This window comes from Homo sapiens, chromosome 21, assembly GCF_000001405.40.
Source record: "Homo sapiens chromosome 21, GRCh38.p14 Primary Assembly".
NCBI classification, from domain to species: domain Eukaryota; kingdom Metazoa; phylum Chordata; class Mammalia; order Primates; family Hominidae; genus Homo; species Homo sapiens.
The window spans coordinates 44,781,212-44,805,000 of record NC_000021.9 but is presented as its reverse complement, the minus strand read 5'-3'; the positions used below and the strand labels follow the sequence as shown (position 1 = coordinate 44,805,000).

The following is a 23,789-nucleotide window of genomic DNA, read 5'->3' as shown; positions in this document are numbered from 1 at the left end:
GACATCTGCCAGATTCCCTAGGCAGCCTGGGGCGAAGCGGCTGCCAAAATCAATGAGGAAAGGGATGTGTCCCAGGCACCGTAGGTTAGATAAGAATAATGGCCAGGAGCATATGTGGATGTATTAGGGCAGCGCTGCTTGAACTTCCACCCACAACACCTCACAGCAGAACCAGCAGGATGTCCTGTCTTTCTAAAAAAGATTTGTAGAGATGGAGCTCTCACTATATTGCTGTATTAGTGCATCCTCACATTACTATAAAGAACTACCTGAGACTGGGTAATTTATAAAGAAAAGAGGTTTAATTGACTCATAGTTCTGTAGGCTGTACAGGAAGCATGGCTAGGGAGGCCTCAGGAAACTTATAATCATGGCAGAAGAGGAAGGGCATGGACACAAATCCAAACCATAAATCAGTTGCCCAAGCTGATCTCAGACTCCTGGCCTCAAGTGATCCTCGTGCCTCAGCCTGCCAAGTAGTTGGGATTACAGGCATGAGCCATGGTGCCCAGCAAAGGTATGTTCTTGAAGTTGTCTTTTTTCTGAGATTTATGCAAATGGTGCATTTGGAAAAATAGATCTGTTGGGATTACTATTTTCAACAAGATTACTTATGTGAAACTGACTCCAAGAATCTTTGGGTTAAATTGATGCTCCTGGAGGAGAGAGGCCCTATTTATCCTAGTATCTATGCCTGGGGTCCCAACTGGAACTTCTCCAGTTTTTGCACCGAAAGGTTCACATCCCAGGAACCCCCACTCCCAGGGAACTTGAGTTGTCATCTTAGCCATGCTGCAGGAGTGCCCAGCTGGAAACGCGTGATGTTCATGGGAAAACCCCACCGTATAACATGGGTTAAGCTGTGAGGTCCTTTTTATATTTCAGAACTTTAGTTGCTAAAGATAGAAAGCATTAATTTTATTCTGTACAGTTGGCCTCCCCAGGGTGTGCTGCCCTGCAGTATCACACACTGGCTGCTCAGAGTCCCTGGGACTCCACTACCACTTGATCCAAGTTGAGAGTTCCACGAGTTAGCCAGTTAAAACATAGGATGCCCAGCTAAGCTTGAATTCCACATAAGGTACTGAACGACGTCCCTGAAATGTTGCAGAGAGCCTGGTTCTCTGAAGATAAGGTGTTGTAACAGTCCTGTTGAGGGGAGAGACTGCCATCTTGTTTCAGCAACTCATATTTCAAGTGACTTTTGTCACTTGAAGCTGAAGCTAATCCTGATAGAAGCTGTAAACCACATTTCTGAAAAATAATAATTGGAAAACATACAGTGTTCTGCAGTAAGATGTCTGAAAAAGATGGATAAAATTATGAAAACATCAAGCATATGTTGCAGTGAACATCACGGCATTGACAGTAATGCTTTATTGCCCACATCTCCCATAACTGGAAAAGGGGAGCTGCTCTCCTTTAGGAGCACTGGACAGACTGCCTTGGGGTGTGGGGTGCTGTCTGATTAGAGAGAGAGCAGCTCTTGAATGGGGGAGGAAACACCTCCACTGTGACTTTTTGCACATTGCATTTGCACAAATTACTCTCTGAAACAGTCTCAAAGGACCATGTCATTTTATAAAGCACTGTGGTCATTTGAAAAGATGGAGGTAGACTGAAATTTTGAATTTTGGGGAATTTTCCTACACTATGCATACTTGTGAAGTTTGTATTGTTAAATTTCATTTGATTTGACAAATCCGTGTTAAGAGTATACGATGTCCAGGTACAGAGGCTGCCCCAGAAACAAGACAGAAGTAGGCAGGGACCCATGGCTCTCATGGAACACGCTTTTGGTTAGAGGCAACAGATAAGGGTAATACATTTATAGCATGCCAGTAAGTTCTATAGTACGGTGTGTTGAGTAGGTGTTGCAGAGAAAAAGGTATGCGGTGAAGGCCGGGTGGTGACGGCCTAGGCCACACTGAAGAGGCAACATTTGAGCAAAGACTGAAAGAGCAGGTGGGAAGAGTCGGGGACAAGAGCCGCCAGAAAGTGTTTCCGGGGAGGGAAGAGTCAGGGACTCTGAACCAGGCCAGGGCAGCTGGAGTGGAGTGAGAGGGAGGGAGGGTCTGGGAGTATGGCGGGGTGACCGGAGGCAGAGCAAAGCACTGCAGGACTTCAGCTTTACTGAGTGAAATGGGCGGAGCAGAGTGTGAATGTGATCAGACTTCTTTTCAAGGGATCATCTGCAATGCTGGAAAGGAAAAGACAAATGATAGATTATTGCAACAAACAGCCAGGCAAGAGATGCAAACTTTTTTTGCAAAGGTGTGTGTGTATATACATCCTTGCACCGGACAGCCACGAAGCACCTACTGTGCTGTGAAGTCAGTAAGGATGTGGGTTAAAATCGCTCACCTCACAGCGGGTCAATCGGGAAAGCACACCCACTCACTACAGCCATTATGGGAAAAAGGGCTCGCCCCTTACAGGATCCTCAACTGTGGAGAGGCCGGGAGCCCACGCGGGGCGCTGGGGAGTCTCTCAGCACCCCAGGGGTTCGGGCAGGGACCTGAGCCGCGCCCTCTCTCCCGGGGGTGCCCTGGGGTCGAGGCTGCTCGGCAGAGCCGGCGGTCAGTTCGAGCCGCGGGCCCGAACAGGGCTCTCCCCGCGGCTCTCTCCCTCGGAGTAGAAGGTGCTGGACCCGAACTCCAGCGGAGCCGCACAACACGTGGAGGAAAAGCGCCAGGACAGCTAACCTTCCCACCTTTTCAAACCTGAAACCCGGCCGGCTGGGGACGGTTGGAATGTTCAGTGCGTACCCGCACCTCAGGCCCCTTGTCTCCAGCCCCAGACCGCCCCGCGACCATCCTCCCCACCCCCCGACCTCTTATCTCGTCCCCGCCCTGTCTCCCCAACCTCCATCCTCCCCTCCACAACCCCCGTCCTCCCGCCCTTCGGCCACGCGCGGCTGGCACAGAACAGGCAGTTAGCGCACACACACTGGAACAGGCGCCACCGTTCAGGAAGTCTCTACAAGACCAGGACCCTGAGGCCTCTGGAAGTGCCGGGACCGAACCAACCCCGCAGAGCGACTAAGGCGAGGGCAGGAGCCAAGAGAATCGTAGCCGCGGTCGCGGGTTGAGCTCCCACCACCCGGACAGCGCGCCTCGGCGATCGCGCACGCGCCACGCCCCGGAAGAGTTCCTGGGCCCGCGACGGTGGCCCGGAAGCAGTCCCCGGTGTCGGGGCAGGAGGCACGCGCGCGGCTGAGGCGAGGTCGCTCGGCGCAGCTGTTGCGGGGCCATGGCGGGGACCGCGCTCAAGAGGCTGATGGCCGAGTACAAACGTGAGTCTGGGGACCCGGGCCGTCAGCAGCGTCCCGCGTTCCTGCTCCCGGGCCCGCGTCGTCCGGCGGGGCTGGGGCAGGGAGCCTGGCGGGGGAGCCGGGCCCGGGGCCTCCACCGTGAGCCCCCCTGTGGGTCCCGCGGAGTGCCGCGCCCTGCGCCCGCTGCCCACTCTCACGCGTGAAGTCGTGAAGAGAAGCCTTCCCAGCATCAGTAAAGGCAGCGCCGGCGCCGTGTTAGTTGAGAGCACACACAGTTGAGTCTTTGCGGGCTTGTTTTTTTCTCTTCTATTTTTTCTTTTCTTGGCAGCCTTGAGAACGTGCAGTGAGAGCTTGAGGAAGAAGGCCTGACTTGCTGCTGCGGAATTAGGAGGGAAAAGTGTATGCGTTAAAAGGGGAAAGGCTCGTTGGTGGAGCTTTGAAAGGTCAGATTTTGGCTTTCCCTCTAATGAAGGAAAAGGGTTTTTGAACAGTGCCACCTGTCACTCCTCCTAGGTAGTGTTGAGGAAACCTCTTGAGTGCTTTCCTACCCGGTAAATTAGATATTTCTAATGTCTGAGGAGAGCGAAGGGAGAAATGAGAACCTAGGAACACTCGGCATTCCATCGTTTTACACCGAATGCCCGCTTGGAAGAACTGCTGCGAGAAGTCTTGGAATACCATTGTGTTGAAAGCGCCAGGAGCCTGAGTCGCCGATGGAGACGAGATAGTAGCCGGCTAAGAGCAGGGCCTGAGTTCAGACCCGGCCTCTCTGCTTGTTAGCTCTTTGACCTTGTTCCTCTCTCTGTCTCTGCAGTTTCCTTGTCTTAAAAGGTTAAACTTGATACTGCAGGTGAAGTGCTTAGCAAAATACCTGATGTGTAACCCTTAATAAAGTTAGCTGCTGCTTTTGTAATTAGATTGAGGATAATTTTGGAAGAAAGTTAAGCTAAAAGAATGAATGTGAGAAAAAAAATAAGTGGTGAATATACATGTAGCTTGATTTCGTAAAACTATTGGTGACACCGCCCAGTAAGAGTTGATGTTTGGCTTAAGCAGACCAAAACGTTGCAAATACAGGCTCACTCACGTATGGTCATTCTTCCCTTGGTATCTGGAGGGGATTGGTTCCAGGCCCCGCTGCAGATACCAGAATCCTCGGATGCTCAAGTCCCTACTATAAGGTGGCGTGGTATTTGCATTTAATGTATGCATAGCCTCTCATAACTTTTAAATCATCTCAAGGTTACTTATAGTACCTAATGCAATGTAAGTGCTGCACAAATAGTTACACTGATTTTTTTTACTTGTATTTTTAAATCGTCATTTTTTATTGTTATTTTTTTCAAATATTTTGTATTCCTGGTTGGTCGAATCCATGGATATGCAGCCGCAGATACACAGGGCCTCCTGTAAACGTTCAAATAACGCTCGCCACCTAGTGTCTGCTAAAGCAGAACATAAAGGCACACCTCAGTTTCCCGCGCGCTTTGCTTTATTGAGCTTCACTTCGCAGATCTTGCATTTTTTACAAGTTTACAAGTTTTTTACAAGCAACCCTGCATGGAAGCAAGTCTGTTGGCACCATTTTTGCTCGCTTCGTGTCTCTCTCTTACATTTTAATCTATTACTGTGATCTATGATCAGTAATCTTTGATGTTACTATTGTAATTATTTTGGGGCATCACAAACTATGCCCATAAAAGATGGTAGTCCTAATAAATGTTGTGTGTGCTTCACTGACTGGCTGTTTCCCCATCTCTCTCCCGGCCTCTCTCTTCCCTGAGACAAAACAACATTGAAATTAGGCCAATAGTAACTGTACAGTGGGCTCAAGTGTTGAAGTGAAGAGTTGCACTCTACCCACTTCAAATCAAAAGCTAGAAATGATTAAGTTTAGTGAGGAAGGAATGTTGAAAGTCAAGATAGGCTGAAAGCTGGGTCTCTTGTTAGCCAAGTTGTGAATGCAAAGGAAAAGTTCTTAAAGGAAATTAGAAGTGCTGCTCTGTTGAACACAATGAATGATAAAGTGAAAAAGCCTTACTGCTGATATGGAGAAAGTTTTAGTGGTTTGGATAGAAGATCAAACCAGCCATAACATTCCTTTAAGCCAAAGCCTAATCCAGAGCAAGGTCCTAACTCTTCAGTTTTATGAAGGCTGAGAGCAGTGAGGAAGCTGCAGAAGAAAAATTGGGAGCTAACAGAGGTTGGTTCATGAGATTGAAGTAAATAACCTGTCTCCATAACAGAAAAGCACAAGGTGAAGCAGCAAGGTCTCCAGAAGATCTAGCTAAGATCAAGATGAAAGTGGCTCCTAAATTAAGCAATAGATTTACAAGGTACGTAAAATAGCCTTATACGGTATTGGGAGGAGATGATGCCATATACAACGTAAACAGCTAGAGAGAAGTCAATGACTGGCTTCAAAGGACAGGGCGACTCTTGTTAGGGGCTAATGTCGGTCACTTTAAGTTGACTGAGTTGAAGCCAGTTCTCATTTATCATTCAGAAAATCTTAGGGCCCTTAAAAATTATGCTAAATCTACTCTGAGCTCTAGAGATGGAAAAACAACCTGGATGACAGCACATCTGTGTACAGCATGGTTTACTGAATATAAGCCCACTGTTGAGACCTACTGCTCAGAAAAAAAGATTATCTTCAAAATACTATTCCTGACAGTGCACCTGGTCACTCAAGAGCTCTGATGGAGAGGTATAAGGAGATAAATGTTTTTGTGCCTGCTAACACAACACCAATTCTGCAGCCCATGGATCCGGGAGCACTTTTGACTTATTTAAGAAATACATTTCATAAGGCCATAGCTGCCATGAAAAGTGATTTCTTTGATGGATCTGGGCAAAGAAAATCAAAAGTCTTCTGGAAAGGATTTATCATTCTAGATGGCATTAAGAACATCTGTGATTCATGGGAGGTCACCATATCAACAACAGGCGTTTGAAAAAGTTGATTTCAATGCTCATGGATGACTTTAAGGGGAGGAAGCAACTGCAGGTGTGGTAGAAATGGCAAGGGAACTGGAATTAGAGGTGGAGCCTGAAGATGTCACTCAGTTGCTACAATCTCATGATCAAACTTGAACAGATGGGGAGTTGAGTCTTACAGATGAGCAAAGAAGTGATTCTTGAGATGGAATCTACTCCTGGTGAAAATGCTGTGAACATTGTTGAAATGACAAAAGATTGAGACTATTCCATAAATTTAGTTGATAAAGCAGCCGCAGGGTTTGAGGGTATTGACTCCAGTTTTGACTGAAGTTCCACTGTGGGTAAAGTGCTGTCAAACAACATCACAGACTACAGAGCAATCTTTTGTGAAAGTAAGAGTCAGTCCCTGTGGCAAACTTAATTGTTGTCTTATTTTCAGAAACTACCACAGCCACTCCTGCCTTCAGCAACTACCACCCTGATCAGTCAGCAGTCATCAATATCCGGGCAAGACTGCACCGGCAAAAAGATTATGACCTGCTGAAGGCTCATATGATTGTTAGCATTTTTTAGCAATAAAAATTAAGCATATTTTGGCAAATAATAATTATTTATTTATTTATTTTTTGAGACAGGGTCTTGCTCTGTCACCCAGGTTGGAGTGCAGTGGCACAACCACAGCTCATTGCAAGCCTTGACCTGGGCTCAAGCTATCCTTTCACTTAATCCACCTGAGTAGCTGAGACTACAGGCATGTGCCCCTACACCTGGCTGATTTTTCTGTCTTCATCTTGACCTCCCTCTATGTTGTCAGGGTTTGGCGAAAGTGACTCCATTTTGATTCTGACAATGTTCATACTCGAACAGAGGGTTGGATGTGGGGGACTATTACTTCTGTGTCCTCATGGGAAACCTGGCTGGTGGGTCAGATGTGTGAACACCTACCATTTCTTGGTATCCTGGTTTGTGTTTGTGTCTCTGTTTTAGTTTTATTTTAGCCCTATTTCTAGGGTTAGGCTAGACTGTGAGCAGGTATTTTCTCTTTTTTTTTTTTTTTTTTTTTTTTTTTGAGACGGAGTTTTGCTCTGTCGCCCAGGCTGGAGTGCAGTGGCGCAATCTTGACTCACTGCAGGCTCCGCCTCCCGGGTTCATGCCATTCTCCTGCCTCAGCCTCCCGTGTAGCTGGGACTACAGGCGCGCGCCACCATGCCCGGCTAATTTTTGTATTGTTAGTAGAGACGGGGTTTCACCGTGTTAGCCAGGATGGTCTCGATCTCCTGACCTCGTGATCCGCCAGCCTCGGCCTCCCAAAGTGCTGGGATTACAGGCGTGAGCCACCACGCCCGGCCTTCTCATTTTTATTGAGAAGAAAATCATTAAACCCCTGCATAGGAAATTAAGTTCAGGCTGCTGCTTCAGGCCAGTCTTTGCATTGTTGAACTTGCATTTTCTAAGGATATTTGCATTAGCAAAGATATGTTCTCCCTTTTATTGTCCTGACAGAAGCTTCATCTGTTATTTCAATTATATTGTCAATTAGTTTGCAGTAATAAGACCTAAATAATGGTTGATTTCCGAAGGTTTGTCACGGAAGTGTGTTGTGTGTTTTTACATGTTAACATGAAATTTTGGACTATGTGTAGAAGGTAGAACTCTAAACATACCTCACTAAGATTCCCATGCCCTTGTTATTCAAGCACTTTCTAGTACTTCGGTGGAGGGACTTTGGAGATGCAAGTCAGGTTAGTAATCAGCAGACCTAAAGAGTGGGAGATTATTCTGGATTACCGTGAAGGATCCAATAATAACATAAGGCTCAAAAGCAGTCAGTGAAGGCAGGATGGGGGTGGTCAGAGAGATTCAACATATGACAAGATCTCTACCTTCTGTGGCTGGCTGTGAAGATGGAAGAAGGAGCCATGACCTAAGGAAGGCGGGCAGCCTCAAGAAGCTGAGAATGATCCCAGACCAACAGACCCGTGGAAGTGAATTCTGTCAGCAACCTCAATGAACTTGGAGTGGCAGCCCTGGTGAGACTCTGAGCAGAGAACTAGCTGGCCCATGCTGTGTCCAGACTTCTGACGCTTGGAAACTCTGAGATCATCAATGAGTATTGTTTTAAATCACTAAATTTGTGGTAATTTGTTACAGCAGTGACAGAAGATGAATACAGTGTGTTATTGAGGGGACTTTGTTTTTCCTGTATCTTAATAATGTGATAAAATTTAGTGGGTTTTTTTTGTGTATCATTTACTGGTTTTTTTTGTGTGTGTATCTTAACATCTAGTTTGTCCTCATAACGTATTTTAAGGTAGCACATTCCAGTGTAAAGGTGGACTTGACAGAATCAATCTCTACATAGAAGGGGTTTAGATAAATTTGGTTAGATGTTCATGCACACTTTATTGTATTTGGGAGTAGTCATATAACTGCAGAAATTCAGAGGTGGTGGGACCTTGGCTATGATTCTGTTCAAGCCCCCTAATTTTACAGATTTTATGGAATTGAGCAACAGACAAGATGATTTTGCCTAGGTTCATAAACAGGAAAAAAGGAGAGCCAGGAAAGAACTCAATTGTTGTAAACTGCTGTCTTGTCTTGATGTTCTGTCTTCATTCATCATCCAGCCTTTCCTAGGAGTGTCAGAGATAGACCCAGGTAGAAGTGGGCTGCCCATGGGGGGCTTAGCACAACAGAAATTTATTCTTTTACTGTTCTGGAGGCCAGACATCTAAAATAAAGGTGTTGATGGGGTCATTCTTCCTCTTGAGGGCTCGAGGGGAGAACCCTTACTTGCCTCTTCCAGCTAATGGTGATTGTTGGTCATCCTTGGCGTTTATTGTCATTCTCTTGCTTGAGGTAGTGTAATTCTAATCTCTGCCTCCATCTTCGCATGGCCATCTTCCCCCTGTGTGCATGTCCTAAATGTACATGTCTTTCTGTGGATATATGCTTTTATTTCTCCTGTGTAAATAACCAGGGTTATAATGGGAAGTGTGTGTTTAATTTTTAAAGAAACGGCCAGTTTTCCTCTAGTTCACATTTCCCTAGCAGTGTATTAAGTGTTCCCGTTGCCCCACCTCCTTGCTGACACTTCGCGTGGCCAGTTGTTTTTTGTTTTCTTTTTTCTTTCTTTCTTTCTTTTTTTTTTTGAGACAGGTTCTCACTCTGTCACTCGGGCTAGAGTGCAGTGGTGTAGTCATGGCTCATGGCAGCCTCTGCCTCCTAGGCTCAAGCAATCCTGCCACCTCAGCCTCCCAAGAAGCTGGGATTACAGTTGCATGCCACCTCGCTTAGCTAATTTTTGTATTTTTAGTAGAGATAGGGTTTCGCCATGTTGCCCAGGCTTGTCTCGAACTCGTGGGCCCAAGCAATCTGCCCGTCTTGGCCTTCCAAAGTGTTGGAATTACAACTGCGAGCCACTGCGCCCTTCCAGTTTTAAAAATTTTAGCCATTCTATTGGGTGTATAGCAGTCTTACTGAGGTTTTGTTTTATTTATTTATTTTTTTTTATTTTTTATTTTTGAGGTGCTCTCTCTGTCATCCAGGCTGGAGTGCAGTGGCATGATCTCAGCTCACTGCAACATCTGCCTCCTGGCTTCAAGTAATTCTCCTGCCTCAGCTTCCCAAGTAGCTGGGGCTATAGGCGCGTGCCACCACACCTGGCTAATTTTTGTATTTTTAGTAGAAACGGGATTTCACTATGTTGGCTAGGCTGGTCTCTAACTCCTGACCTCAGGAGTTTGCCTCGCCTCCCAAAGTGCTGGGATTTACGGGCATGAGCCACAGCCCCCGGCCCTTACTGAGGTTTTCATTTGCATTTCCATAAGACTCGTGATGTTGAGCATCATTTCACGTGTTTATTTGCCATCCATATGTCTTTTTAGATAAAGTGACTTGAGTCTTTGCTTCTTTCAAAATTGTGTTGATTTTCTTAAGTTTTAGTTCTTTGGCTGGGCGCAGTGGCTCACGCCTGTAATCCCAGCACTTTGTGGGCTGAGGTGGGCGGATCACGAGGTCAGGAGATGGAGACCATCCGGGCTAACACGGTGAAACCCCCTCTCTACTAAAAATACAAAAAATTAGCTGGGCATGGTGGCGGACCCCTGTAGTCCCAGCTACTCAGGAGGCTGAGGCAGGAGAATGGCGTGAACTTGGGAGGTGGAGCTTGCAGTGAGCCGAGATCACGCCACTGCACTCCAGCCTGGGTGACAGAGCGAGACTCCGTCTCAAAAAAAAAAAAAAACAAAAAAAGAAGGGTTTTTATTATTTCGATGAAATTCAATTATTGACTTTTAAAATATTTCTTGCTATTGTGTTATATTTAAGAAATAACTGCCAAACATCAGGTGGCAGTAGGATTTTCTCCTATGATTTCTTCTAGATGTTTTATAGTTTCAGCTCTTGTATTTAGGTTTGGGATCCATATCAAAGTTTTCCATATGGTATGAGATAAAGGCCAAGGTTTATTTGTAAATTATTTGTAAATGGCAGTGCAGTTGTTTCAGCACTGTGTTTGCTAGGGCTGCTCTACCACACAGGCTGGGCACGGCTTAAACAACAGAAATGTATTTCCTCATAGTCCTGGAGGCTGGAAGTCCAAGATCAAGGATAGGGCAGGGCTGGTTTCTTCTGAGGCTCTGTCCTCTATGCCTGTGTCCTCATCTCTTCTTAAAAGGATATTAGTCAGATTGGATTAAGGTCCACCCTAATGACCACATTAATTTTAATTACCTCTTAAAGGCCCTAGTCACACACTTTTCTCCACCTTCTTTTTTTTCATGTAATATGTCCTGAAGTTTGTTCTGTACTAGCATGTAGAGGTATTTATAGCTGCAAAGTACCCCACTGGTATATGTATCATAATTTGACTGGTCCTCTGTTGATAGACACTCAAGTTCTTTTTAATTTCTTTTTGTTTTTACAAATAGTCCTGAAATGAATAGCCTGTGTATACATTTTTTATCTTCACCAATGTTATCTGTGGGATGGATTCCTAGAAATGGAATTGCTGGGTCAAAGGTTATATTTCACTTTGTGTGGTAGCTATTTGTTAAGCCACTATTTTAAGTGGCAAGGAATGGCCTCTGAAAATTTCCCTGATACCAAGATTCGTCTCTTTTTTTGAACTTGTTTCTTATCAGTAAACATGAAACTGTATATTATTTTGTGTACGCGTGTATATGCTTTGGAAGCAAAAAACAAAATGGAAAAAATAAGTGCCCTGAACCATTCCCTCCAGCCTCTGAACTCATTTGCTGCACTTCTTTATTGACCAGTAGAGGCCACTGTTGAATAACAAAGCTGGCGGGAAGGCCAGCGCACACCCGGGCAGGTCTCTGTGCTGAGCCTGCATTGCCAGGAGCAGGTCTGGAGCTGCAGTTTTTAGACCACCCTTTCCCCTCCCTAAGGGAGGGTGTCACGCAGGGGAGTGCCAAAGGGGAACTCCAGATGAAGAATAAAGCCAGCTCTCTTTGGTACGAGCTCTTCTTCATGGTCCCACGAAGGTGATTTGTAAAGCTTTTGTGTGTTCTGCTGCCAGGCCTCTACTTAGTTGCCCACTGACATTGTGTTTCTCCCGCACCCCACCTGCTTAGCAGTTTACAGTCTATCTGCCGTAATCTGTTATTTTTTTCTTATAATTAGGCGGTTTGGCTTGAGACACAAGAATGGGACTAGATTTTAGATGACTGGGTGTAGGAAGCCTAGCAAATTAGGTTCTGTGGTTATTTCTCCTGATCTACTCCACATGAAGAGACACAAAGGGAGAACATCAGGGTGTGGCTTGTGAAATCCAAGGTCTTAGTCGGCTTGGTACTTGACCTCATTCACATTCAGTTCCCACCCACCCCTGAAATGTTTAATGCACTTGGCCCTTGGGGCCAGCACTTGCCTTTGGCCTGCCTTGCTGGCCCCTCCTTGCCACTCTGCCTTCTCTCACTGCTGGGTGTCAGCACACCCTTGTGACAGCACTTAGGTCTCTTCAGGACCTCTGTTTCCTGGATCAGGGCTTCTCAGCAGGTGTTAGTGGTATTTTGAGTGAAATAATTTTTCCTTGGGTAGGCCTTGTTCTACCCAAGGTTGTGGGTTCATTAAACGGTTAATCGGTACATTAGTCCGTTCTTATACTGCCATAAAGATACTACCTGAGACTGGGTAATTATAAAGGAAAGAGGTTTAGTTGACTCACAGTTCTGCATAACTGACGAGGCCTCAGGAAACTTATAGTCATGGCAGAAAGGGAAACAGACCTCTTCTCAAGGCGGTAGGAGAGAGAAGAGCAAGCCAAGGAAGAACTTGCCACACACTTATAGAACCATCATGTCTCCTGAGAACTCGCTATCACGAGAACAGCATGAGGGAAACTGCCCCCATGATCCAGTCACCTCCTACCAGGTTCCTCGCTCAACACTTTGGGGATTACAAGTCAAGGTGAGATTCGGGTAGGGACACAAAGCCAAACCATGTCATTTCTCCCCCTACCCCTCCCAAATCTCATGTTCCTTTCAAAACCATTCCATTTCAAAACAAATCATGCCTTCCCAGCAAGGCCCCCAAAGTCTTAACTCATTTCGTCATTAACTCAAAAGTCCAAGTCCAAAGTCTCATCTCTGACAAGGTAAGTCCCCTCTGCCTAGCAGCCTGTAAAATCAAAAGCAAGTTAGTTACTTTCAAGATACAATGGAAATACAGGCATTGGATAAATACTCCCATTACCAATGGAAGAAATTGGCCAAAACAAAGGGCTACAGGCCCCCATGCAAGTCCGAAATCCGGCTGGGCAGTCATTAAATCTTAAAGCTCAAAATGGTCTCCTTTGTGACCCCGTGTCTCACATCCAGGGCACACTGATACAGGGAGTGGCTTTCATGGTCTTGGGCAGCTCTGCCCCTGTGGCTTTGTAGGGTACAGCCCTCCCACACCCACCCCCTTCAGCTACTTTCATGGTGGGCATTGAGTGTCTTTGGCTTTTCTAGGTGCACAGTGCAAAGCTCTTGGTGGATCTACCGTTCTGGGGTCTGGAGGATGGTTGTTCTCTTCTCACAGCTCCACTAGGCAGTGCCCCAGTGGGGACTCTGGGAGCTCCAACCCCACATTTCCCTTCTGCAATGCCCTAGCAGATGTTCTCCATGAGGGCCCTGCCCCTGCAGCAGATTTCTGTCTGGACATCCAGGCGTTTCCCTACATCCTCTGAAATGTAGGTGAAGGTTCCCAAACGTCAGTTATTGAATTCTTTGCACCCACAGGCCCAACACCACGTGGAAGCTGCCAAGGCTTGGGGTTTGTACTCTCTGAAGCAACAGCCTGAGCTGTACCTTGGCCCTTTTTAGCCATGGCTGGAGCTGGAACAGCTGGGACACAGGGCACCAAGTACCAAGGCTGCACAGAGTAGCAGCGGGGCTGGGCCTGGCCCACAAAACCATTTTTCCCTCCTAGGCCTCCCTGCTTGTGATGGGAGGGGCTGCTGCCAAGATCTCTGACATGCTCTGGAGACATTTACCCCATTGTCTTGGCGATTAATATTTGGCTCCTTGTTACTTATTTGAATTTCTCTCCAGAAAATGGGTTTTTCTTTTTTATTGCACCGTCATGCTGCGAAGTTTTCAAACTTTTATTCCCTGCTTTCTTTTAAACACGAGTTCCAATTTCAGATCATCTCTCTCAAGTTCAAAGTTCCACAGATCTCTAGGGCAGGGGCAAAATCTCACCATTCTCTTTGTTGAAACATAGCAAGGGTGACCATTGCTCCAGTTCCCAAGAAGTTCCTCTTCTCTTTTTCAGACCACCTCAGCCTGGGCTTCATTGTCCATGTCACTATCAGCATTTTGGTCAAAAGCATTCAGCAAGTCTCTAGGAAGTTCCAGACTTTCCCACATCTTCCTTCTTCTAAGCCCTTCAAACTGTTCCAACCTCTGCCTACTACCCAGTTCTGAAGTTGCTTCCACATTTTCAGGTTATCTTTATAGCAGTACCCCTGGTACCAATTTACTGTATTCATCTGTTTTCACACTCCTATAAGAACTTCCCTGAGACTGGATAATTTATAAAGGAAAGAGGTTTAATTGACTCACAGTTCCACATGGCTAGGGAGGCCTCAGGAAACTTATCATGACAGAAGCCGAAGGGGAAGCAAGCACCTTCTTCACAAGGTGGCAAGAAAGAAGAGTGAAGGAGGAACTTTCGAACACTTATAAAACCACCAGATCTCATGAGAACTCACTGTCATGAGAACAGCATGGAGGAAATTGCCCCCATGATCCAGTCACCTTCCACTAGGTTCCTCCCTCAACACCTGGAGATTACAATTCAAGATGAAATTTGTGTGGGGACACAAAGCCAAACCATATCAATGGACATTTGGGTTGTTTCCAGTTTGGGGCTATTACGAATTTAGCTACTATGAACATTCACACAAAAGTCTATGGCAACATAAGACCCAGTAGAATTGCTGGGTCTTAGAGTCAATATATATGTAATTTTAGTGGAAATGGTCAAACTTCTTTCCCAAAGGGTAACCAAACCATTTTGCATTCCCATCAGTGGTGCATGAGAGATCTACTTGCTAAACTTGCCAGCACTTTAAGTCTTTAATTTTGGCCATTCTTTTGTGACTAAAGATACTGATAATGCTGAAGCTATTGAGCTGTATCTTATTGTGGTTTTAATTTGCATTACCCTTATGATTCACAATGTTGAGCATTTTCTCATGTGCTTATTAGCCATCTGTTTTAGTCAGTTCAGGCTGCTGTAAAAAAATACCAAAGACCAGGGAGCTTAAACAACAAACATTTATTGCTCCCAATTCTGGAGGCTGGGAAGTCTGGTGAGGGCTGTCTTCCTGGTTTGCAGATGACTGTCTTCTCCTTGTGCCCTTACATGGCCAGAGGCAAATCTCTCGTTTCTTCTTATAAAGGCACTAACTCCATTCATGAGAGTTCTGCCCTCCTGACCTAATCTCCTCCCAAAGGTCCCACCTCCCAATACCACATACATTAGGATTCAACATAGGAATTTTGGGGGGACGCAAGCGTTTGGACCACAGCATCATTCGTGTTGACTCTGACAGTGGCTCTTTTCAACTCTGCCTCCATTTTTCTTCTTACCTATTTTGATTTTTATATGTGGTGTGAGATGGGGAAAGTTTGATTTTTTTTTGTCTTAGAGATGAGCATCATTCATGGAAAAGACTGCCCTTTGCCTCTGGGCCATAGCTCTGTGTTCCCTCGAGTCAGGGTCTCTGTTGGTACAGGTATGCTTCTGGGCTTTCTCTTGTGCCCCATTGTTCAATTTAACTTTGAGCCAGTGCTACGTTGCCTTAATTTCCATAGCTCTGTAAGGAAGGCTTGGTAACTCATAGATGAAGCTTTCTGTTTATTCTTTTTTTTTTTTTTTTTTTTTGAGACAGAGTCTTGCTCTGTCACCCAGGCTGGAGTGCAGTGGCGCGATCTCGGCTCACTGCAACCTCCGCCTCCTGGGTTCAAGTGATCCTCCTGCCTCAGCCTCCCAAGTAGCTGGGACTACAGGTGCATGCCACCATGCCCGGCTAATTTTTCTATTTTTGGTAGAGATGGGATTTCGCCATGTTGGCCAGGCTGGTCTCGAACTCCTGACCTGAGGTGATCCACCCGCCTCGGCCTCCCAAAGTGCTGGGATTACAGGCGTGAGCCACCGCGCCTGGCCCTCTGTTTATTCTTTTTAAAGATAGTGTCTTGGCTATTCTGGATTGTTTGCATTTTTATATATCTTTTAGAAAGATATATATATGCCTCATATTCAGCAACTGTGCCAAACTCACTTTTACTAATTATCTTTAGATTCTTTTGGGCTTTCCTGTATATATGGACATAGCATCTGTGAATAATGAGTTTTATTTCTTTTTCAGTCCTTATACCTTATATTTATTTGGCAAGGATTTATTAATTTTCTGTCTCTTCAAAGAACCACCTTTTGGTTTCATTGATTTTTTTTTTTCTGTATGTTTGCTTACTGTTTTATTAATTTCCCCAGTCTCACTCTGGTTGCCCACTGGACTCCAGCCTGGGCAACCAGAGTGAGACCCTGTCTCAAAACTAAGCAACAAAGTAACCAGCAGGAACAGTTTGGAAAGACAGTGTACCCCTTATGTTTGCTTTTGCATTTGTAAAAAGAAAAAGAAAAAGAAAAGTCTATGTTTTGTTGGTATAAAGAACTATTTGGGCCGGCGCGGTGGCTCATGCCTGTAATCCCAGCACTTTGGGAGGCCGAGGCTGGCGGATCACGAGGTCAGGAGATCTAGACCATCCTGGCTAACACGGTGAAACCCCGTCTCTACTAAAAATACAAAAAATTAGCTGGGCGTGGTGGTGGGCGCCTGTAGTCCCAGCTACTTGGGAGGCTGAGGCAGGTGAATGGCATGAACCTGGGAGGTGGAGCTTGCAGTGAGCTGAGATCACACCACTGCACTTCAGCCTGGGTGATAGAGTGAGACTCCGTCTCAAAAAAAAACAAAAAAAAAACAAAAAAACTTTGTGTAGTTGTTATCAGAACCGTTATTGTACTAGGTATTCACTTTGGGCAAACAGAATTTTCACTTGTTAATATGCATATTCTATGGTTTATAGGCTTATATATTTTGTAAAGGTGTTTTGTTAAAATGACAATGTAACATTTATTCTGTTTGGTAATGGTTTTACTTATTAATTTTATAGAATTAACACTGAATCCTCCGGAAGGAATTGTAGCAGGTAAGGTACCAAAGTTAACTTCCTTATAATTTACTTTTAATTGCCAAAGTTCCTTCAAAGTTAAAATGTTGTGAAATTTTTTCTCACCCTACAGGCCCCATGAATGAAGAGAACTTTTTTGAATGGGAGGCATTGATCATGTAAGTTAATTTTAGGTGTACTAGTTTTTAGGGCTTTGCTGGAAGTCAGATGTAAGAATCACATCAGCAGTGTGACTGTGTCCAAAAGCATCAGCTGGAAAAAAGACTGAGTTCTCCAGTAATGCCCAGCTCTCGTCTAGGCTGCTGGTCTGAAAGCAGAGAACCTGAGCATTGATCCAAAAGAAATGAGTGTTTCCTTAGAGCCAGTCAAAGGTTTAGTTATAATTATGTAATATATGTATTATATATTTGAGAGTTTTAAGGTGGTAATTTTGGAATGTTGTATGATCGTGGTTAAAATAACCTCAAATGGCGTAGGTGGCTTTGGCTTCCAGAAGTAGCCCCTTCAGGTGTGAAATTTTGACGAGAAAAGGGTCCTCAAAGATGTGTCTGACCACACCAGGCATGTTAGCGCAGCCTTGCCTGCCCTGCCTTTGGGCCAGGACTTCTTTTTCTTCTCCTTTCCTCCCAGTTCGTATCTTCGTGTGCTGCATCTCCTTTTTCTGTTGCCTTGTCTGGACTTGTTGGCCTTGTGTTCTTTCCGACCCAAGACATGGCTTAGTAAGTGAGCAGTGTGGTTCTGGGATTCGTGGCATTTAACTTAGGGTGACGTTGCTTGGAAAGAGAAACACATGGACCCCTGATTTTAGAGTGTTCTATGGCCTTGACTCACTTTGCTTTTTCTTCTTTCTACCTTAGATGTGCAATTTTTGGCCATTCTTAGTGTATTTTCAGCAAAGTGAGGTTAAATAAAATTTAGGAAGTTGAAATTTGTAATCAGTCTCTGTTTTCTTTCTTTTCTTTTTCTTTCTTTCTTTTTTTTTTTTGAGATGGAGTTTCGCCCTTGTTGCCCAGGCTGGAGTGCGGTGGCACAACCTTGGCTCACTGCAACTCCTGCCCCTTGGGTTCAAGCGATTCTCCTGCCTCAGCCTCCCTAGTAGCTGGGATTACAGGTACCCACCACCGTGCCTGGCTAATTTTTGTATTTTTAGTAGAGACAGGGTTTCCCCATGTTGGCCAGGCTGGTCTCGAACTTCTGACCTCAGGTGTTCCGCCTGCCTTGGCCTCCCAGAGTGCTGGGATAACAGGTGTGAGCCACCGCGCCAAGCCCAGTCTTTGTTATCTCATTAGTGAGGTCTTTTAATTTGCAGCAAGGTCTTGGGTTGGATTTTGTTGCATTGAGAAGTGCTCTAGAGGGCAAGGACCGGAAAAGTGAGGGCTGTGAAACAAGTGTGGGCTCTGGCTTGAAGTGATCTTAAGCTTCATGATGCTTTTGGAATTCGCCAGTTGCTTGGATCACATTAATTCTTAATGCTCTATGGGTTGGTCTGAGAAACAGATTGCAGCTAAGTGTTGTCTGTGGAGGTTAAATTGATATGAAAATTAGTATTTTGGATAAACAAAATGTTTTTAAAAAATCATCAAACGCTATTCAGATGGTACAGCACGCCTGCCATTTCCTGATCATTTGTAATATCCTAATTGCTTGGGCCTATGGCACATGTTTTTTCGGTGTCTGAAGGTTTCTGGAATCTGTGTTTGTGTGTAATGTGGCCCCCAAGGCAGTTATGAGATGGATGGCGAGTCCCACAGTCTGGGCTGTCCTCATTAGTGGACTGTGCGGCTGTATACTTGTATCGGGGCAGCTCTTTTTATTTCTGTAGAAGCAGGAGATCATATACATGAACTGATGTGTAACCTGCTTGTTTCATGTGTTAATGCAGGCGCACCTGCACTCATGCCAGCGGGGCAGCACGCCTGCTGCAGGGGCCCAGAGTGGCGGGAGGCCTGTCTGTGTGTAGAGGTTGAAGGCGCCTGTCGTGTCTGCAGTTATTTGTGGGGTGTTGGCTCCTCCGTAGGCCTATTTGGAAGCTCATTAAAGGAACAGTTGAGCCGTCCAGTGTGGTTTTAAAAAAATGTTCATTGTTAAAAATCGATTAGGGTAACTATTACCAATTTTAAATAAACAGTGTAAAATTAAACCAATATTTTGAAAACCTGTCTTAAAAAGTAATTAGAACTATTTTTAGGTAGAGCACTTCTGTGTTTGAACAAGGCTTTTTGCATTAGTTTGGAATTCCCCTGCTTGAAGATCCTAGTGAGTTTGTGGGTTTTGGTCCTGTTCCAGACCCTTCACAAACAAGAGGCCGTTTACAAGTGCACTTAAAATGCCTATTAGGGAATTAACTGTCCTCCCATCGATTTGTCTCACCCTGCTATTTTGGCAGACATCTGGCCAAGTCTTTGCTCCTTGGTGATAAGTTTCTTCTTTTTCTCTTTATTCTTTGATGGCTTCCAGGGCCGCCTCTCTACCCTAGTATTTCTAAAACCCGTGCTTGCCTCACAGAAGTCGAACGGCTGTTGGTTTTTGCTGTTGTGCTTGCCTTAAGGGCCAGTGAAGAAAATGTCATTTTAGATATCTAAGCAACAAACACTAAGTGCCTTTGATATGTTAGGGCCCTTGTCTGAAGATACAGACATGTCAAAGATGCACTGAAATCTTTACCTTGGAAGACCAGGGTTGAGGGATTAGGATGGAGAATAGAACAGATTAGTGAATGAGAGGACTAAATAATGAGAGTCCGCAGGCTGTGTCTTTAAACACCGGGAATAACTCTGCTGACCCTGCCACGCTCATGGTGGAGTCTGAGCCTGCAATCAAATCGAGCGTGGCTGGGATGGCGGCACACCAGGGGATGTGGCCACCGTGGCTGTGGGTGCTAGCATGGCCTGCTGCTCTTGGCCCAGTCACTTTGCCTCTCTTTGACTTATTTGGATCAAAACAGAGAGGTTTATCAGCATCTTCTAGACAGATGGTTACAGGTCTTGCCCAGCTCTAGGGTCCATGGCCCGTGACCCCATTGCCACTAAGCCACGGTGACGGGGGTGTAGCTGCAGAGAGGGTGGGTGCCCTCTTTCATTGATGCACTTATGTGGGACAGAAGGAGTCCTAGACAGCTGTTCATCCCCAGTGGCCGGACAAGGCGTGGAGTCCCTTGGCGCTTGCTGTCCTCTGTGTCCTGCCCCAGCATTCCCAAATCAGCTGGCTTGGTGACCTTCTTGTCTGGTTCATGCCTGACTGCTGTCACCTCCCCAGACCAGTGGTTCTAGAGGCTGTGGTGAAATAAGAAGGACCTTCCTTTACTGAATGGTGTGTTTGGGGCCCAGTTGGTGGATGGATGCTCCCAGGTTCTCCAGCTGGCTCATGGCAGCCAGCTTGAGGGCTCCCAGGCTGCCGCGGCTTCTACCAGGAGCCCTTCTCACACTGGGGGCCAGTGTCCGGGGCACAGCAGCCTCCCTTTATGTCCAGGTTTCTTGTTGACTGAAGACTGTCACAGGGCATCTCTTGGCAGTATTATGCCTTGCTGAAATAAACCCGAGATAATAAAATAGGTGTTTATAATTTGTATTGTATGTAATCTCACCATAGCATTTTCTTCAACAAAAGTGTCACAAAGATCCCTATATGAAGAAGTTATTGCCACATTCATTGCAGTAATAATAATAAAAAAGGAAACATCACTGTTCCACATAATTTATGGAGCATCTATATAGAGTAATGCCATGTAGCTGTAAAACAGTTCAGGTGGAATTTTCATCCTGGCATGGAAAGATGTACACAATATAAATGGAAAAGGCGGATTCTAGAATAATAGGTCTGGAACCGTCTGTCCGTCCTTCCTTCCTCTCCTCTCCTCCCTCCTCTCTCTCTTCCTTTCTCCCCTCCTTTCTTCCCTCCCCTCCCCTCCCCTCCCTTTCTTATGGAGACATGGTCTAGCTCTGTCACCCAGGCTGAAGTTCAGTGGCCTGGTCACAGCTCACTGCAGCCTCAAACTCCCAGGCTCAAACAATCCTCCCACCTCAGCCCCACAAGTAGCTGGGACCACAGGTGCACACCACCACGCCCAGCTAGTTTTTAAAATGCTTTGTAGAGATGGGGTCTTGCTCTGTTTCCCAGGCTGGTCTCGAACTCCTGGCCTCAAGCAATCCTTCTGCCTCAGCCTCCCAAAGTGCTGGGATTACAGGCAGGATCCAAGGCACCCAGCCTAAACAGCTTTATTGAGATAATTTACATACTGTAAGTTTTACTTGCATTAAGTATAAAAGTTAGTGGTTTTAGTAAATTTCTAGAGTTTTGTAGTCATCACCACAGTCCAGTTTTAGAACATTTCCAAAAAGATTCTTATGTCTATGTGCAGACAGTTCCCATTCCAACCCCCAGGCAATCCCTGCTCTTTCCTCTGACTATAGATTTGCCTTTTCTGACTTTTCCTATGTGTGGAATCATACACTGTCTAATCATCTGTGCCTGGCTTCTTGTACTTGGCAGAATGTATTTGCAGTTCATCCATGTTATACCATGTATCAGCAGCTCCTTCCTTTTCCATTCCCCAGTTGATGGACATTTGGGCTTCCTACTTTTTGGCTCTTTTGAGCAATGCTGCTGTAAACACTTGTCTTGTCACACTGTCTGTGTGGACATGGAGTTCATTTCTCTAGACCAGATATAGAGGTGTGGAATTGCTGGGGTGTGGAGTAAATTTGCGTTTAATGTTTTAAGAAACTATCAGACTATCTTCCTAGAGTAGCTCACCATTTTGCATTCCCAGCAGCAGTGTATGAGCATTCCAGTTTCTCCACTTCCACACCAACACTGCTGTTGTCTGATAACAGCTGTTCTTGTGGGTGTAAAGTGGGGTCTCCTTACAGATTTGACTTGGATTTCCTTGACGACTAATGATGTTGAGCATCTCTTAATGGGCTTATTGGCCGTTCATGTATCTTCTTTGGTGAACTTCAGAACTTTTCCCCATTTTTATATTCGGTTGTTTTCTTGTTGATGGAACGTTAAGAGTTTTTAAAATATATTTTGATACAAGTCCTTCATTAGACATAGGATTTTTAAATATTTTCTTCCAATCTGCAACTCTCCATTTTGTTTTCTTAATAGAGTCTTTTGAAACTAAAAAGTTGTTAATTTTGATGAAGTGTGATTTTGCATTTTTTTTCTTATATAGAGCATGCTTTTGGTGTTGTATATAACCCAAGGTTGCAAAGATTTTCTCTTATGTTTGCTTGTAGAAGTTTTGTGTTTTTTCACTTTTACATTTAGGCCTTTGATCTATTTTGATTGACTTAGTGTCATGTATGGAGTTAGGTGGGAGTCTGTTTCATTCTTTTGTATGTGGTTATCCAGTTGTCTCAGCACCATTTGTTGAAAAGACAGTTCTTTCCCCATTGCATAATTTTGGCACCTTTGTCAAAAATCAGTTGACTATAAATGCAAGGATTTATTTTTGGACTCTGAATTGCATTCCATTGATCTATGCCTATCCTTAGGCCATTACTACACTGTCTTGATTACTGGAGCTTCATGGTAAGTTTTAAAATTGGGAAATTTAAGTCCGCCAACTTTGTTCTTTTTCAAGATTGTTTACTAGGCCATTGCATTTCCATTACATTTTAGGGTCAGCTTGTCAATTTCTACAAAATGCCTGGTGGGATTTTGATTGAGACTACATTGAATCTTTAGATAAGTTTGAGGGATATTGCCATCATATCAGTACTGAGTGCTCTAATCCATGAACATGGACTGTCTCTCCATTTATTTAGGTGTTTTAAAATTCTCAGCAATGCCATGATACATTTGAATTTTTAGAAATCCAGTTTTGTAGATTAGAGTATGTGAATTTATACACACATAGAGAAAAGCTGGAACAATAACCAAACTTAACTCTGGTTACCTCAAGGAGGTGATTTTGGGAGGGGGAGTGAGGGAGGTATTTGCTTTTTATTTTATATACTTCTGTATTTGAATATTTTCCAACATTCTTTTATTTTCCTAGTTAAATAAGGTCAAAGTTTATGTTGTAAAAGTGATTGTCTATGTTAGAATATACTATAAAGTTCTTATAATTGATGAACTTATTTAGTACACTTTATAGTTCAAATATATTAGATTTAAAAATTTTAAGAAACATCTATATTGCAAAAAATAATTAGGGTATGGCTGTAGATGCCTTTTGGACAGGTTTAACTATGAAAATAATTATATGGAGCAAAAGCTATATTTGCCCCTACTATGATTTCATAAAATGGAAATGTTCCCCCTTTTCTTCCGAGCAGTTCTTAGCATTGGTTATCTACCTGAGTATCGCCTGGGGTGCTTAGAACACCACAAAACAGAAAGGAAACACAGGGGATCTCTGGGTTTAAACCAGAGCCAGGGCCCTGCTCTGGGGGTGAGGGTCAAATATGTCATCCTGGTGGAGACCAAGTGCTGGAGGAAAGTGCAGGAAGGCACTTCCCCAAATCACGGCTTCTTACAGCCTCGTCCTCTTGCTACGAGGGTATTGGGATCAGTTTCTATTTAACTCCTCACTGCCTGGCACAGCCACAAGCACAACCTGGCATAGCAGAGCCAGTGTCCTAGGGCTTTTAAAGTGCCCAGTGTGGGGGCTGTGTGTGCAGCCCACCTTGGTCCTGCTGTCCTGGGCATTAGTGGGGTGGGAACATCGGCAAGAAGCTTTTGCTGAACTGCAGAGCAGGGACTGAAGGAAGGAGACGCACCCAAGCTCAGATGCCGGGAGCCCTCATGCCCTTCCTGCTGGGTGCCCTCTGTCGATTCTGTAGCGTAAGGGAGGTGCTTATCCTTCCCCCAGAGTGGAGGGTGCCCATGAAGCAGTTTGCCCTTCCCGTCTCCAGCTC

The 23,789-nt window shown here is 44.9% G+C and overlaps 1 protein-coding gene and 1 long non-coding RNA gene across 4 annotated transcripts in view, besides 6 other annotated features; one reads left to right on the top strand and one right to left on the bottom strand.

The window, feature by feature from the left end:
- LINC01424 (long intergenic non-protein coding RNA 1424) lies at positions 284-2,760 on the bottom strand. The gene is made up of 2 exons (NR_109928.1): positions 2,365-2,760; positions 284-1,254 (listed from the first exon to the last, which is right to left on the bottom strand). It is a non-coding gene; the product is annotated as a long intergenic non-protein coding RNA 1424 (long non-coding RNA).
- Positions 2,563-2,612: a silencer, noted in NCBI's record as "silent region_13388". NCBI's record gives its function as "represses an Ori minimal core promoter by ATAC-STARR-seq in GM12878 lymphoblastoid cells {active_cell/tissue: GM12878}" and the evidence as "EXISTENCE:reporter gene assay evidence [ECO:0000049][PMID:35858748]".
- Positions 3,000-3,955: an enhancer, noted in NCBI's record as "H3K27ac hESC enhancer chr21:46220961-46221916 (GRCh37/hg19 assembly coordinates)". NCBI's record gives its function as "activates a minimal SCP1, AML or CMV promoter by ChIP-STARR-seq in naive H9 embryonic stem cells {active_cell/tissue: H9 hESC(naive)}" and the evidence as "EXISTENCE:reporter gene assay evidence [ECO:0000049][PMID:30033119]".
- Positions 3,113-3,332: a silencer, noted in NCBI's record as "silent region_13387". NCBI's record gives its function as "represses an Ori minimal core promoter by ATAC-STARR-seq in GM12878 lymphoblastoid cells {active_cell/tissue: GM12878}" and the evidence as "EXISTENCE:reporter gene assay evidence [ECO:0000049][PMID:35858748]".
- The window catches only part of UBE2G2 (ubiquitin conjugating enzyme E2 G2), a 33,241-nt gene continuing 12,632 nt past the window's right edge, over positions 3,181-23,789 (top strand). The window contains exons 1-4 of one of the 3 annotated variants that reach the window (NM_182688.3): positions 3,181-3,295; positions 3,603-3,717; positions 16,906-16,941; positions 17,036-17,081. In NM_182688.3, the coding sequence (NP_872630.1) occupies positions 17,041-17,081 (41 nt within the window). In that variant the 5' untranslated portion in view covers positions 3,181-3,295; positions 3,603-3,717; positions 16,906-16,941; positions 17,036-17,040. The remainder of the gene's footprint in view (positions 3,296-3,602; positions 3,718-16,905; positions 16,942-17,035; positions 17,082-23,789) is intronic. The other 2 variants (NM_003343.6, NM_001202489.2) reach the window with 2 other exon arrangements.
- Positions 3,393-3,452: a silencer, noted in NCBI's record as "silent region_13386". NCBI's record gives its function as "represses an Ori minimal core promoter by ATAC-STARR-seq in GM12878 lymphoblastoid cells {active_cell/tissue: GM12878}" and the evidence as "EXISTENCE:reporter gene assay evidence [ECO:0000049][PMID:35858748]".
- Positions 11,704-11,793: an enhancer, noted in NCBI's record as "active region_18575". NCBI's record gives its function as "activates an Ori minimal core promoter by ATAC-STARR-seq in GM12878 lymphoblastoid cells {active_cell/tissue: GM12878}" and the evidence as "EXISTENCE:reporter gene assay evidence [ECO:0000049][PMID:35858748]".
- Positions 16,385-16,609: a silencer, noted in NCBI's record as "fragment chr21:46208307-46208531 (GRCh37/hg19 assembly coordinates)". NCBI's record gives its function as "represses an EF-1alpha promoter that drives an FKBP-Casp9 reporter gene in an ReSE screen in K562 erythroleukemia cells {active_cell/tissue: K562}" and the evidence as "EXISTENCE:reporter gene assay evidence [ECO:0000049][PMID:32094911]".